Here is a 13,444-nt window from a genome sequence, read left to right as displayed (position 1 = left end):
GATTACCATCTGGCCGAAATTGATTAATGTCTCTCATAGGTCTAGCTTTATATTTTTCTTTCCTCTCATTTATGTATTTATTTCCCTGGGAAAAAAACATCGCCAAGACATTACAAATCAAATTGTATTTCATTAAAAGTTTAACAAAAAGTTTATGAAATCTGGACTATCCTTAGAAAATTCAAGACATATACTTATTGTCCGGTCATAGCACGTTGTCATTCATTCATTTATTTAGTCGTTCAATAATTGCTCATTTAGCAAATATTTCTCAAACACTACTTAAGTTATTCCCAGATGTTGAGGACATAAAGATGGATGAGACACTGTGCCTGATTTCAATGAGCTAATGGCTGAGTACAGGAGCCGGACAAATGAGTAAACTAACACAGAATCACTTCAGAAGGGTTGTGATCCAAGTGAGCACAGGGACTTTAGGAAGCCCATGGCAGGGGCACCCAGACGACCTAGAGGCGTGACCACTGTCCTCCCTCTTTTAGTTTAATCATATATTTAAAGAGCATGTTGTCTCTACACTTTCCTGTGATTCTTGGTAGTGATCTTTGGCCAGGGCAATGCAATTCTAATCCAGTGACCTTCCAGTTAATGCCTAACTCTGCTAATTTATTGTTGATTGTCTAGAGGAGTAAAGGAAACCAAGGTTTTCATCAGACCCTGAAAGCTGTTTGCCTGAAAAATGGCATCTATGCCTCCAGGACTCTGGCGAGAATTGATCTAAATGAAGCCCTCACTCAGCCCGTCTATGACCAGATCGACCCTGTTTTTGGAAGCATTTTTAGGTAAAGGATCTCTCATCTTGCACCTTCGGGAACAAACATCGGAAGAATGTGGAGCCAGTCTTTAAGAATTTAGACTTTGGATCTGTAAGTGTAAAGAGTAGCTTGTAACTGGAGAAGGAAACCTTAGTCCTTGGCAAAACACAAAAGCCTTCTTGGTTTGGTTTACTTAAAAATTTCCCATGATGACCTGGACACAGACTGAGATGCTGCTTTCAGACTAATGTTATGATTCCCATTATTTTTCAAATATCTCATACATGCAGCAGGGGATACATTTTCTTAGGGATCTGAGCCCAGGACAGGGTATTTTGATTGGAGAGAGTAGAATTAAGCAAACACATGGCCTTTAGAACTTTCTTTCTTCCTTTTTTTTAAAAAATGAGACAGGGTCTTGCTCTGTTGCCTAGGCTGGAGTGCAGTGGCACAATCCTAGCTCACTGCAGCCTCAAACTCCTGGACTCAGGCAATCCTCCCATCTCAGCCTCCCAAGTAGCTGAGACCACAGGCATATGCCACCATGCCTGGCTAACTTTTAAAAAATATTTTTTGTAGAGACAGTGCTGTGTTGACCAGTTTGGTCTTGAAATCCTGACCTTAAATGATCCTCCCCCATCGTCCTCCCAAAGTGCTGGGATTACTGGTGTGAGCCACCACACCCAGCCTCAGAGCTTTCCCTGAATGCACTGAAGATGCTGTGTCTGTTTCTGACACACTCTGCCTGCTCACATACATGATGTGGGTTTGGGGACTGTACCTCCTTGGTGCTCCCTCCTTCCCTCCTTCCTTGACCTCTAATTCTTTTTTTTTTTTTTTTTTCTTGAGATGGAGTCTCGCTCTGTCGCCCAGGCTGGAGTGGTGCAGTGGCGCGATCTCAGCTCATTGGAAGCTCTGCCTCCTGGGTTCACACCATTCTCCTGCCTCAGCCTCCCGAGTAGCTGGGACTATAGGCACCTGCCACCATGCCTGGCTAATTTTTTGTATTTTTTAGTAGAGATGGGGTTTCACCATGTTAGCCAGGATGGTCTTGATCTCCTGACCTTGTGATCTGCCCGCCTCGGCCTCCCAAAGTGCTGGGATTACAGGCATGAGCCACCGCGCCCGGCTGACCTCTAATTCTTTACTCCATCAGCAGAAACAGAATCTCCCAGTCCCCAAGTACAGCCACCCATAGTCTCTGTCCTTCCCGCTGGCATTTCACGTGGTTGCCCATTGGTGGCTGCTTGAACCATTCTCCAGCCTTTGCTTGTGTCTTACTCAGAGCCCCCATCCCTGCCCCACCTTTCTTTAAGCACGTCTTGGATTATGCCATTCCATCGATTGCACCCCCGCCCTGTTTACAATTCTGTGGGCTAAACTTCAAATCCCTTAGAACGCGTTCAAGACATTCCACCTGCCTCCAGCTTGCCTTTCCAACCTCTGCCTGCACCGCTGCCTGGTTGCAGCCTTGTGCTGTAGCCCACCCAGCAGGTGGCAAAGAGAGAGCAGCTACCTGTCCTGGCCACCAGTGCTAAGCACTTGGCAGGCATTAGCTCATCGGATGTTCCCAGTGACTCTAAGGAGTGGCTTCTGTCTTTTTACATCTGAACAAACTGAGATTCAGAAAATTGTGCATCTTTCCCAATGGCACCCAACTCATGAGCAGAGAGCTAGGATTTAAAGCTTGTGCTCTCTCCTCTGCAACCTCTCACTTCCTATTTCTGGGATATTCTGAAACGACTGTGCTTACCATGTTGTCCCATGGGGAATAATTTCTTCTTTCCACTTCTTCAGATCTTACCCAACTTTTAGGTATAGTTCAAGTTCCACCCTTTCAAGTGGACACACATTGGCAGTGGAAAGACTGTGAGTCCTGTAGTTAAAGCAGTGTTCCAAGCATGGCTCTGCCTCTTGCTAGCTGTGTGACCTTGGACACACCAGCAATCCTCTCTGAACCTCAATTTTCTCACTTGTTAAGTGAGCATTATCTCACGAACTTCATAGGTTTTTATGTCAAAGGTCTGGCACAGCACAGTGCCTGGCACATTATAGGGATTTGATAACTGTTAGATTTCATCTTCCTTCTCTTAAATGAATAAAAGGACACCAGCTAGTTTCGTGTTTGTTTCAGCCTCACAGCAGCCACCATTCTCTTAAACTTTTTTGTCACTTTCTTCCGTAGGACGGGGAAGCCCACTGGTTCAGCTCTGATGCCTCACATAGATGCTTTTAAGCAGTCCCTGCAGGAGAAAATGACAGAAATTGGGATAAGAAGTGGCTGGAAATATGATAGCTGCAAAAAAAATTTCCTGATCCAGGAGGTACGTTCCTTATAAAGTGAGGAGAGCAGTGAGGTTGGGCATGGCTTTCTTCCCAGGCCAGTTTTGTAGGTTGCCTGTCTGTTCCCTTGTTCCCTGGAGTATCCAGGGTCTGGGAGTACCTCCTAGGAGGCGCTGTGAAATACAGAACCCAGTGGGATGTGGGGACGGCAGTGGGCCTGACTGCCTTGGAGGAGGTGTGGGACATTTTGTTCCACTGTGAAGCAACTGAGAGTGCACGACAAGGTTGCAAAGTTGACTCAGTTTCCAGGAAGAATCTTTAAAGAAGCCTTAATTGTATGAAAATTTGCATCAACTGGAACCATTTTCACTAACCTATCATTTTTGCCAATGTTACAAAGTAGCATCCGATGCAGTGAAACTTAAAGAAGTCAATCCTTTTTGTTATTGTTGTTCAATTTTAGGTCAATTTTTAGTTTTGAGGCCTCAAGACTCTTGTCTGTGACCCACTTTCTTCCAGTGCCACCTCAAATTACATGGCAATGCTAGGGAAAGAGCTTGTATCTCCTCTGCCCCCCAGAGAGGGCCCATTCCAGGACGTTGCCTGTGCCTGAGTTCAACTCAGCAAATATTTATTGAGTAGTTTGTAGGTGCCAGGCACCATGGGAAGCACTTGGGGTATAAAGATGCTTAGAACAGAGTTCCTGCCTATGAGAAGCTCACAGCCTAGTTGTGGAGATGACAGACAAACAACTGGGCATCATATAAGGTGGAGGTGGAGGGAATGGTGGCCATGCACTGGGACACCTGACCTGCTTCCATTGAAGGAATTGTCACCAACGGCCTCTTTTGCCACATCTTCCCAGATAAGTGCCATCCTCGGGGGCCTGGAGGACCACATCCTCAGAAGGAAGAGGAGGATCTACGAGTCCCTCACTGCCTCTGTCCAGAGTGACCTGAAGCTCTGTTACGAAGGTGGGGGCTGCGGAGGACAGCATTTCTGCCTGCTCTGGGACTTTCTGTCAGCATCTTTCGCATCCTTTTCTGCGGCTCCCTCAAAGGCCCTGTTCTCTTGCACCCTAAGACTTTGCAGCACTCTCAGTCCACACATTGCAACCACATGACTGCAGGGTGTGAGGACCCTTCTCTGTGTGTTTTCCAGCTCTTTCTGTCTACCCTTGGTCCAGACACCCTGCTTTTTTGCATACAACATCCCAGCTGATTTAGCTGTAGAATCCAGTGTCCAGGTTCTCATTTTTGTTTCCAAGTATTCACAAATACTTGAACTCACTCACTTGTGAACTCATTTTCAGGCTCTTTCCTGTTTTGGTGGCTCTGTCGTTTGAGGGGTAGGGAGTGATTTTGCAAGTTTCAGCTTAATTCAGTCATTAGGTTTTCTGAATGCTGGTTATTATCTAAACATATAAAGTGTTATTTTTATATAAGTATATATATATTTGTTGTTGTTGTTTGTTTGTTTGCTTGGCTTGCTTTTCTTTCTAAGGCCAAAGGTTTCTTTTTTTGTTTGTTTTTTTGAGATGGAGTCTTGCTTTGTCACCCAGGCTGGAGTGCAGTGGCAGCGATCTCAGCTCACTCCAACCTCCGCCTCCTGGGTTGAAGCGATTCTCGTGCCTGAGCCTTCTAAGTAGGTGGGATTACAGGCGTGCACACGGTGCCCAGCTAATTTTTGTATTTTTAGTAGAGATGGGGGTTTCACCATGTTGGGCAGGCTGGTCTTGAACTCCTGACCTCAGCTGATCTGCCCACTTCAGCCTCCCAAAGCGCTGGGATTACAGGTGTGAGCCACCATGCCCGGCCATGGTGCCAAAGATTTCTAAGCAGGTCCTTGTCTTGGTGTGACTGTGGCTATCATTTTTGCCAGAGGCAGCTCAGATCACGGGCAAAAAAGCGTGTGAGCGGATGAAAGATGCCATCAGAAGAGGAGTGGACCGGCAGGTGGCTGAGGGCATGTTTGAAAGGGCCCAGGAAAGGATGCAGCACCAGTTTCAGCAGCTGAAGGTACTCTATGCCCACATCCTGGATCCTAGACCCCGAGAGGCTCCGGGGGAGGAGAGGAAGCGAGTGCAGAAGGTGGAAGGCATAGTAGGCATTTGGGTCCAAATGGAACAGATGCTTTCTGGGGCTTCGACTTGAGAGCTGCAGTCTTCCAACACTCTCTTGTGCCTCTCCTCTTTCCTGAGTCACCAGTAGCACAGAGACTGTAATAGCTAGACATGTGCTCAGCTATTTACATTAGCTCATTTAATCCCCAGCAAGTCTGTGAGGTAGGTACTATCATTGTTCCCATTTTATAGAGAAGAAACTTCTGGCAGCGGGAGATGTATCAACCAGCCACACAGCCAGGGAGATGCACAGCTGGGATTTGGGATTGGGAAGCCTGTCTCCAGCATGTCCAACAATAGCACGATCTCAAAACAGATTGTTTAGATAGGGAGATGTCTTGTCTACATAAAATGTCAGTAAGTAAATATCAATACACTACTCAAGGCCAGTCAGTTATGGTAACCAGCACACATTCAGCTTTAATTTTATCTACCCCCGAAGACAGTTCCTGATGGTTTCCTTGGGCCTAAATGCTTCTGCCAAGCCTACCTGGACCATCTTGCCTCTGCTCTGGGCCTCATGGCTTGCCACCCCCTTTCCCCCAAGTAGTAGAGATCCTTGAAGTCCATGCCACTGTGGGCTTCCTCCCTGGCCATGTGAGGCTCCACATTTTCTGCCTCAACCCAGGCTGGCTGATCCTGTCTCCCAAGCCCTCAGGGAAGCTGGCCTATTGCTATCTCAGTCCACCTCAGAACCAGCCTTCTTGAAACATCTCCAACCTGTTTCTGCCCAATCTCCTCTCCTCCACCGGGACTGCAGTTTTGGAAAATATCCTTCTTTACAATTCAAAGCATGTAATTCCCCTTGGAGTAGGCTAAGAGGCATCTTGTTCACTAGCAGCAGTTTAGTTTCAATCCTTTAACATGTTATCACCGTCTAAAAATTCATGGACAAGAAACTGGCCGAACTCCATAAAGCCAGTTCCCATTTCCCCATTGTGTACATAGACACTGGATCTTAAGACACCCAGGAAACTATGTCGCTTAAAAAATGTGTACGTTGACCATGTACAAATGTATCTGAAATGACAGAAACATAGGAAGTTAAAACTGGGCAAGACCATAGAGTGTTCCCATTCTGTGATTTTTTTTTTTTTTTTTAAAGAACGCCAGTTAACTTTTAGTTTTTTAAAATATTTTAGTTCTACACAATGGGTGAAATTTCTTTTTATACATAATGTTTGAAGATTTACTTTTTTTAAATTACCTCTTCGCAATAGTCCTGTAAATTAAAGAATGGAATAGTATTTTGTTGAATATACAGATTAGTCTCTGATATATTGATCGATAATGTGGCTTGCTGCTTCGTTTTCACTCTAGCGTGAGGTGACTCCTTCTTGTGGTTTAGGAGCTGTGAATCTCTCGTTCCCTGATCTTAAAGATGAGGAAGCTGGAACCTAGAGGCCTTGAGTTACAGGTTCCAGGTCCATGGCTAGAGCTGAGATGTATGCTTAGGGCTCTTGATCTAGAATCTAGAACGTTAAAGAAAAAGCGTAGGAGATCCAGCTTCAAAACTAGACTCTGCCAGGCTAGAGGAAGGAGCCTGACATTTTTTTCAAAGGGAGGCAGAAACAGAAGAGGGAAGAAAGGGGTTTTAGTTGATAAAAGGACTAAGAGTAGCAAGAAGACACTTCTCAGGCAGTTGGGAAGAATCAGACATGTACAGTAAGGTGAGTGGCACAAAGCAAGTGTGCAGCAAACATCTCCCCAGTGAGCAGATGCATGGACGAGAGGATGGTGGGAAAGTGACCAGCTCTTTCCCTCTTTTTCCATCTCTGTGATTGCCATTCTCTCCGCCATGCCTTCATGCTTCCCCATTAGCTCCTGATTTGATCAGCTGGCACCAGAGCTGCAGCCCCCCACGAGCCTGTAGGTGGGGAGGGAGATGCTGTACAGATGGGAGCCCACAGAAATGTTGTCTTGCTGCCTCCTGGGCCATTTGGTGTCCTTGAAAATGTTTCACCGTTTTGCAACTGGGTTGCAAAGCCTGACTTTGGCAACCCCAGTCTGTACCTTCCGTGGCTGGGGGACTGGGTGGGGTCCCTTTTATAAGATCCACTTTTCCTTGGGCTGCACCATCCTAACAGACTGAATGTCCTTGTTGCATAGACTGGAATCGTGGAGAAGGTGAAGGGCAGCATCACCACTATGCTGGCCCTTGCTTCGTCCCAGGGGGATGGCCTCTACAAGGAGCTTGCAGGTAAATACGCCAAAGCTTTGTATACAGGGTGATTGTGCAGACAGCCCTGGCTGTGGTTACTCCTTCCTGAATTTAAAGGTATTAAACTTTAAATTTTAGGAATTTAAGTTAGGAAGTTAGGAAGAATTAGCAGGGCAAGGAATGGAGATGATGACGATGATGATGGTGATGATGATGATGATGATGATGATGATGATGAAAACAACAGCCCTACCCTTTGCCCAGCACCCAACTGACAGCAAGCATTATACTCAGGCTTTGTGCTCATGGTTTCACTGAATTCTCACATTACCTCCCAGGGATAGATGTTGTTGCTCCATTTTGCAGATGCAGAAATAGAGACTTATATTAGGAAATGTGCCCAAGGTCCCATAGCTGGAAAGCGGCTAATTTAAATCCACAGCTCTGCCCTGCTCTCTCCATAAAGTCTTTCTTTTAAGTTGATGCCTCCTTAAGAAAAATTTCATGGTCTGGTGATGGTGGAGAAAGGCTTCTCTTAATCCACCTATAGCCTGGGGATGCGGCCCCAGCTGTGGACCTTGGTGTAGGCAACCATGTCCCTTTCAGGCCATGGGCTCCATCAGGCCCCCGGTATAAACTGGAGAGGGTAACCTGGTACAAACAGCAATTAAGTAATTTCTAGCCAAATTTAAAATGCACATATCATTTGGCGCAGCAACCCTACAGATATCCTTATATGGGGGGAGGGTGGCATATAGACAAGGTTATTCAGGGTAACATTCTAAAGTCAGAAATGGGGACAACTCAAATATCTGTAAGTAAAGCACTGCTCAAATTAAATTAGATACACAAGGAGTGGAGGACTGTGTAACTGTTAGAAAAAATAAAGCAGCTTTATAGGTAGTGGCATGAAATGATCTCCAAAATATATTACAAAGTGGAAAACAGCAAAGTGAGTAAATGTATATGGTATGTTGCCATTTGTGAGAGGGGAAAAAAGGAAATACATATGTATATGTTTGTATGTGCATAAAAATCTCCATGGGCTACATAGAACACTGGCAGTACTCGTTGCCTCTAAGGAGGGGAACTGGAAGGCTGGAGGGTAGGAGAGGGTGGGAGCCTTGCTCTGCACCCTGTATATTTTGTGCCTTTTATATTTTATACCACATCCATAGTTGCCTGCTGCAATGAACAGATCTGATGCCATTTGAGTTTGCCAGGGTGAAAGTAGACAGAGCTGTTCCCAAAGTCAAAGCCACAATGGCTGCTTCTAACAATCCGTTCTGCACTTCTCCATCTCTCTGGGAATCTTTATGACCCATTTATGGCTGGTTAGATGGACCTCTAACCTGATCTAACGGACTCCAGGGAAGGAGATACAACACCCTCACACTATAATGTACTGGACTCTCATGACCTTCTGTCCAGGCCTTTATAGGAATCTAAGTTTTAAGATGATAGTCATTCCAATGTGCCTGCTTTAAAGAACTCCCGCTTGCCAGAGATCTTGACCAGCTTCAGTGAAGCTTCCCCGCATCCCAGCCCTGAATAACCACTCTGTCTCTGAACTTCAAGAATTATAGCAGGTGCACTTGACAGATGGTGCTCCCCTCAGTTTGATGTCAAGTGCAACTGCTATAATTTAAGCCTATTTCCTTCTCTTCACCATCGACAGCAAATATACATCATGTCAGGGGGTCATACTTTATAAAGAAATCTAAAAGGCAGTCCCTGTTGTCAGGGCCTTACCTGGTTGGTAAGACAAGATGTGTAAGAATGTGCGTTGTAAGACTGGGGAGTTTACATTCACTCAGCAAGCGATTCTGATCACGTCCTGGGTGCCAGGCAGTGTTCTGGGTGCTGAGGACACAGTGGTGGCCAATACAGGCAAGAGTCCCCACCTTCATGGAGCTCACAGCCCAGTGGGTGGAAGGCAGGCAGTCAGCAAACTAATAAGTGAAATATGTGGCAGGGAAGCGAAACACAGAAAGGGAAGAAGGGATGCTGAGGTACGGGACAGGGTGGTGGGACAGGGTGGTAAAGGAAGGTCTCCCTGGGAATGTGACACTTAAGCAAAGCCCTGAGGGAGGGAACCCACTCAGACTTCAGATCGTTATTCTTGAAGTTCAGAGACAGAGTGGTTATTCAGGGCTGGGACGCGGGGAAGCGTCACTGAAGCTGGGTCCTGGGGGAAGCCTCAAAGGTTAGGTTGATTTCAGAGGCAGTGGGGAGAAGGGAGGCCTTCCAGATATGGGACAGAACAAAAAGACTCCGGGTCCTAACTCCCCTCTGCTCATGAGTCCCATCCCTGGCCAGGCTCAGGGCCAACTAACCTGAGTCACCCTCGGGCACAGAAAGCCAAGGGGGATTAGAAAGGCATTCAGGGCTCAGTCTGAAGTGTCCCTTCAAAGGGGACTGCAATTAGTCAGCGTCCTCCAGATAAACAGAACCAGTAGGATGTGTGGATAGATAGAGGAAGAGATTTATTTTAAGAAGTTGGCCCACACGATGGTGGAGGCTTGGTGAGCCCAAAATCTGATGCAGGGAGGCCCACAGGACAGAGACTCCAGAAAGAGAGGCAGTTCGAGTCCAGAGGCCATCCCTGCAGAACCAGGCAGAGTCGATGTTGCAGACAAAGGCCCAACCAAGGCTTGGCCGGGCACGGTGGCTCATGCCTGTAATCCCAACACTTTGGGAGGCCGAGGCGGGTGTATCAACTGAGGTCAAGAGTTCGAGACCAGCCTGGCCAACGTGGTGAAACCCTGTCTCTACTAAAAATACAAAAAAAAAAAAAAAAAAAAAGAAAGAATTTAGCTAGGCGAGGTGGTGGGTGCCTGTAATCCCAGCTAGTTGGGTGTCTGAGGCAGAAGCACTTGAGCCTGGGAGGCAGAGGTTGCAGTGAGTCAAGATCATGCCATTGTACTGCAGACTTGGTGACAAGAGCAAAACTCCATGTCAAAGGCCCAAGGCTGTCACTGGAGCATCCCTGTTAAATGTGAATCTCATCCAAAAACACCCTCCCAGAGGCATCCAGACTCACGTTTAATCCGGTTTCTGGGCCCTGTGACCTAAACAAGTTGACACATAAAACTAACCATTGTGAGAACATGGTTTGATTACAGATCATGGGATTAAAACCTGAGATGCCAGAAAGAGAACATTCACTGAGAATGGGTTGTGCTGGGAGGATAGGGATTGGGGTGGGGGGAAGAGGGGGAGCCGCCTGGAGAGGAATTAGAGGAGGTGTTATTGTGCAACATGCTTTGTATATCACACACCTGTGAAGCCTTAATACAGACCCAGTGACTTCTCAGGGTTTTTCTTATGGGTAGGTTTGGGTTTCTTTTGAGGGTGACCCCATGCTGAGAAAGCTTTCTGGTAAGAGGAGGAACACCTGCTTTGATGTCTGATCTGTAAGCACCACTCCAGATCTCATATTCTGGGACAAGTGACAGGATTGTTGGGGGATTTGCTTTCTGGAGACGTTTCTGCAACGGACACCAAGTCCTGATGTGAGCTTTCTGCTCTCCTGTAGATGTCGGGAGTGAATACAAGGAGATGGAGAAGCTGCACAGAAGCCTGAGGGAGGTCGCGGAGAATGCACGGCTGAGGAAGGGCATGCAAGAATTCCTCCTAAGGGCATCCCCCAGCAAGGCTGGCCCCCCCGGGACATCACTGTAACTCCTGGGGCTTAGTCCCAATGGATGAAAAATCAGCCCAGAGCCAGAGAATTAGAATTACTTTTTTTGTTCTTAAGAGACAAGATCTATCTACCTCTGTTGCCCAGGCTGGAGTGCAGTGGCACCATCACAGCTCACTGCAGCCTCGAACTCCTAGGCTCAAGCGATCCTCCAGCCTCAGCCTCCAGAGCAGCTGGGGCTACAGGTACAGGCCACCACACCTGGGTAATTTTTTTTTTTTTTTTTTTGAGACAGAGTCTCGCTGTGTCACCCAGGCTGGAATGCAGTGGTGCAATCTCGGCTCACTGCAACCTCCACCTCCTGGGTTCAAGAAATTCTCTGCCTCAGCCTCCCAAGTAGCTGGGATTATAGGCGACTGCCACCACACCCGGTTAATTTTTATATTTTTAGTAGAGACGGGGTTTCATCATCTTGGCCAGGCTGGTCCTGAACTCCTGACCTCGTGATCCACCCATCTCTGCCTCCCAAAGTGCTGGGATTACGGGCATGAGCCACCGTGCCCGGCCCATACCTGGGTAATTTTTTAATTTTTTGTGGAGATGGCATCTTGCTCTGTTGCCCAGGGTGGTCTCAAACTCCTGGCCTCAAGTGATTCTCTCCCACCTCAGTCTCTTGTGCTAGGATTGCAGGCATGAGCCATTGTGCCTGGCTCAGAATTCTTTCTGTTTTGTGAAATCTAATAGAGGACATTTCTCAACTATTTGGACTTTGCATGCAATATAAAACTAGTATGTTTACTGCATTTTATTTTATAGCCCCAAAGAGTCATCTTCAATACCTAATGGAGTTCTAAAGCTTTAGGGCAAGAAACTTTTGCTTCCGCAAAAACATCTAAACATCGCTGGGCATGGTGGCTCACTCCCGTAATCCCAGCACTTTGGGAGGCTGAGGCGGGCGGATCATGAGGTCAGGAGATTGAGACCATCCTGGCTAACACAGTGAAACCCCATCTCTACTAAAAATACAAAAAATTAGCCAGGCGTGGTAGCATGTGCCTATAGTCCCAGCTACTTGGGAGGCTGAGGCAGGAGAATCGCTTGAACCCAGGAGGCATAGGTTGCAGTGAGCCAAGGTCGCGCCACTGCACTCCAGCCTGGACGACGGAGTGAGACTATGTCTCAAAAAAAAAAAAAAAAAAAGAAAAAGAAAAAAATATATATATATACACACACACACCCATACATAAAAAAACTTAAACATTATAGAAAAAACATTGCACGATATAAAACAAGCCATAAAAAGAAATTCATCCTTCAATAAAGAAAAATATCTAAACGTTGAAAAACTTAAGTATTATGGAAAACATTGCAAAATAAAGCTTTTAGGAATCCAATTCTGTTTTTTATTTTAGTACTGATGAGACTTTGGGTAAGGAGGCAACATCGTATCCTGGAAACAAAATGGGTTTGGGAGCCAGATGAACATAGACCCGGCTTCATCACTTCTCAGATGTGTTATCTAAGGCCAGCACTTCCTAAACATTTTGATCTCAGGACTCTTCACTTTTAAAGGACGCTGAGGAGCCTTTGTTTATGTGGGTTATGTCTGATGATATTGACTATTCGAAATTAAATAGGAGAAAATGTAAGTAATTATTTACTAACTTTTTTAGAAGTAACAATAATAAACCCATTACGTGTTAACAAAAATAACCCATTGTTATGTAAAAAGCTATTTAAAAAAAAGGTACTGAGAAGAGTAACATTGTTTTACACTTTTGCAAATCTCTTTATTCCCTGGCTTAATAGAACACAGCTGGATTCTCATATCAGTTTCTTCATCTACTCTGTTGCAATATATTGTTTTGGTTGATGTATATGAAAAAAATTCAGTCTCACACAGATATACAGTTGGAATACAAGGAAGTATTTTAATAGCTTTTTCAGGTAATTTTGGGATATATTTTGATTCTACAAAGGCAGATGGCAGTTTCTTAAAAGTTAATTGTGGTGTGGATCTGAAAGCATTATCAGTGAACATTTTTCAAATGCTATTACATTAAAGTGCACTGGTTGATTTTGTACTTTGAATGATTTTTTTTACTAATGCATGATTTTGTGATATCAGGCATTGCTCATCTTGAAAATATTTATTCGCTGAGTTAAGCAAATATTCCAAGTGTTGATGCATTTTATTGTATACTACCATGAAATCATTTTGTTAGTGTCTTCACCAATCTCATCAGGAAAGTATTGCAGTATTGGGAAGCTGTCAAGCTCACAGTGAAAAATATGTTTTACAAAATTCCATCTCCCCCCCAAAAGCTCATCTTATCATTGATGACAAATGTTGTCAGTTGCTTTCTTTGAAGTGATAGATTCACTTTCCTCATTTTTAGGAAAGTGTTTACTATATAACTGTATATGATGAACTATAGTTTGTCAGTCATTATTTCAAATAA

The 13,444-nt window shown here is 45.3% G+C and overlaps 1 protein-coding gene across 4 annotated transcripts in view; it reads left to right on the top strand.

Annotated features, from left to right (window-relative positions):
• Window positions 1-12,376, top strand: part of NUGGC (nuclear GTPase, germinal center associated) — a 61,973-nt gene extending 49,597 nt beyond the window's left edge. For all 4 annotated transcript variants that reach the window (NM_001010906.2, XM_011544523.3, XM_011544524.4 and 1 more), the window contains 6 exons: window positions 643-800; window positions 2,959-3,097; window positions 3,922-4,030; window positions 4,938-5,074; window positions 7,288-7,378; window positions 10,878-12,376. In NM_001010906.2, the coding sequence (NP_001010906.1) occupies window positions 643-800; window positions 2,959-3,097; window positions 3,922-4,030; window positions 4,938-5,074; window positions 7,288-7,378; window positions 10,878-11,023 (780 nt within the window). In that variant the 3' untranslated portion in view covers window positions 11,024-12,376. The remainder of the gene's footprint in view (window positions 1-642; window positions 801-2,958; window positions 3,098-3,921; window positions 4,031-4,937; window positions 5,075-7,287; window positions 7,379-10,877) is intronic.
• The last annotated feature ends 1,068 nt before the right edge of the window (window positions 12,377-13,444 follow it).

This window comes from Homo sapiens, chromosome 8 (genome assembly GCF_000001405.40).
Source record: "Homo sapiens chromosome 8, GRCh38.p14 Primary Assembly".
Classification (NCBI taxonomy): Eukaryota; Metazoa; Chordata; class Mammalia; order Primates; family Hominidae; genus Homo; species Homo sapiens.
The sequence above is the reverse complement of the archived record's forward strand: the minus strand, read 5'-3'. Positions and strand labels throughout refer to the sequence as shown.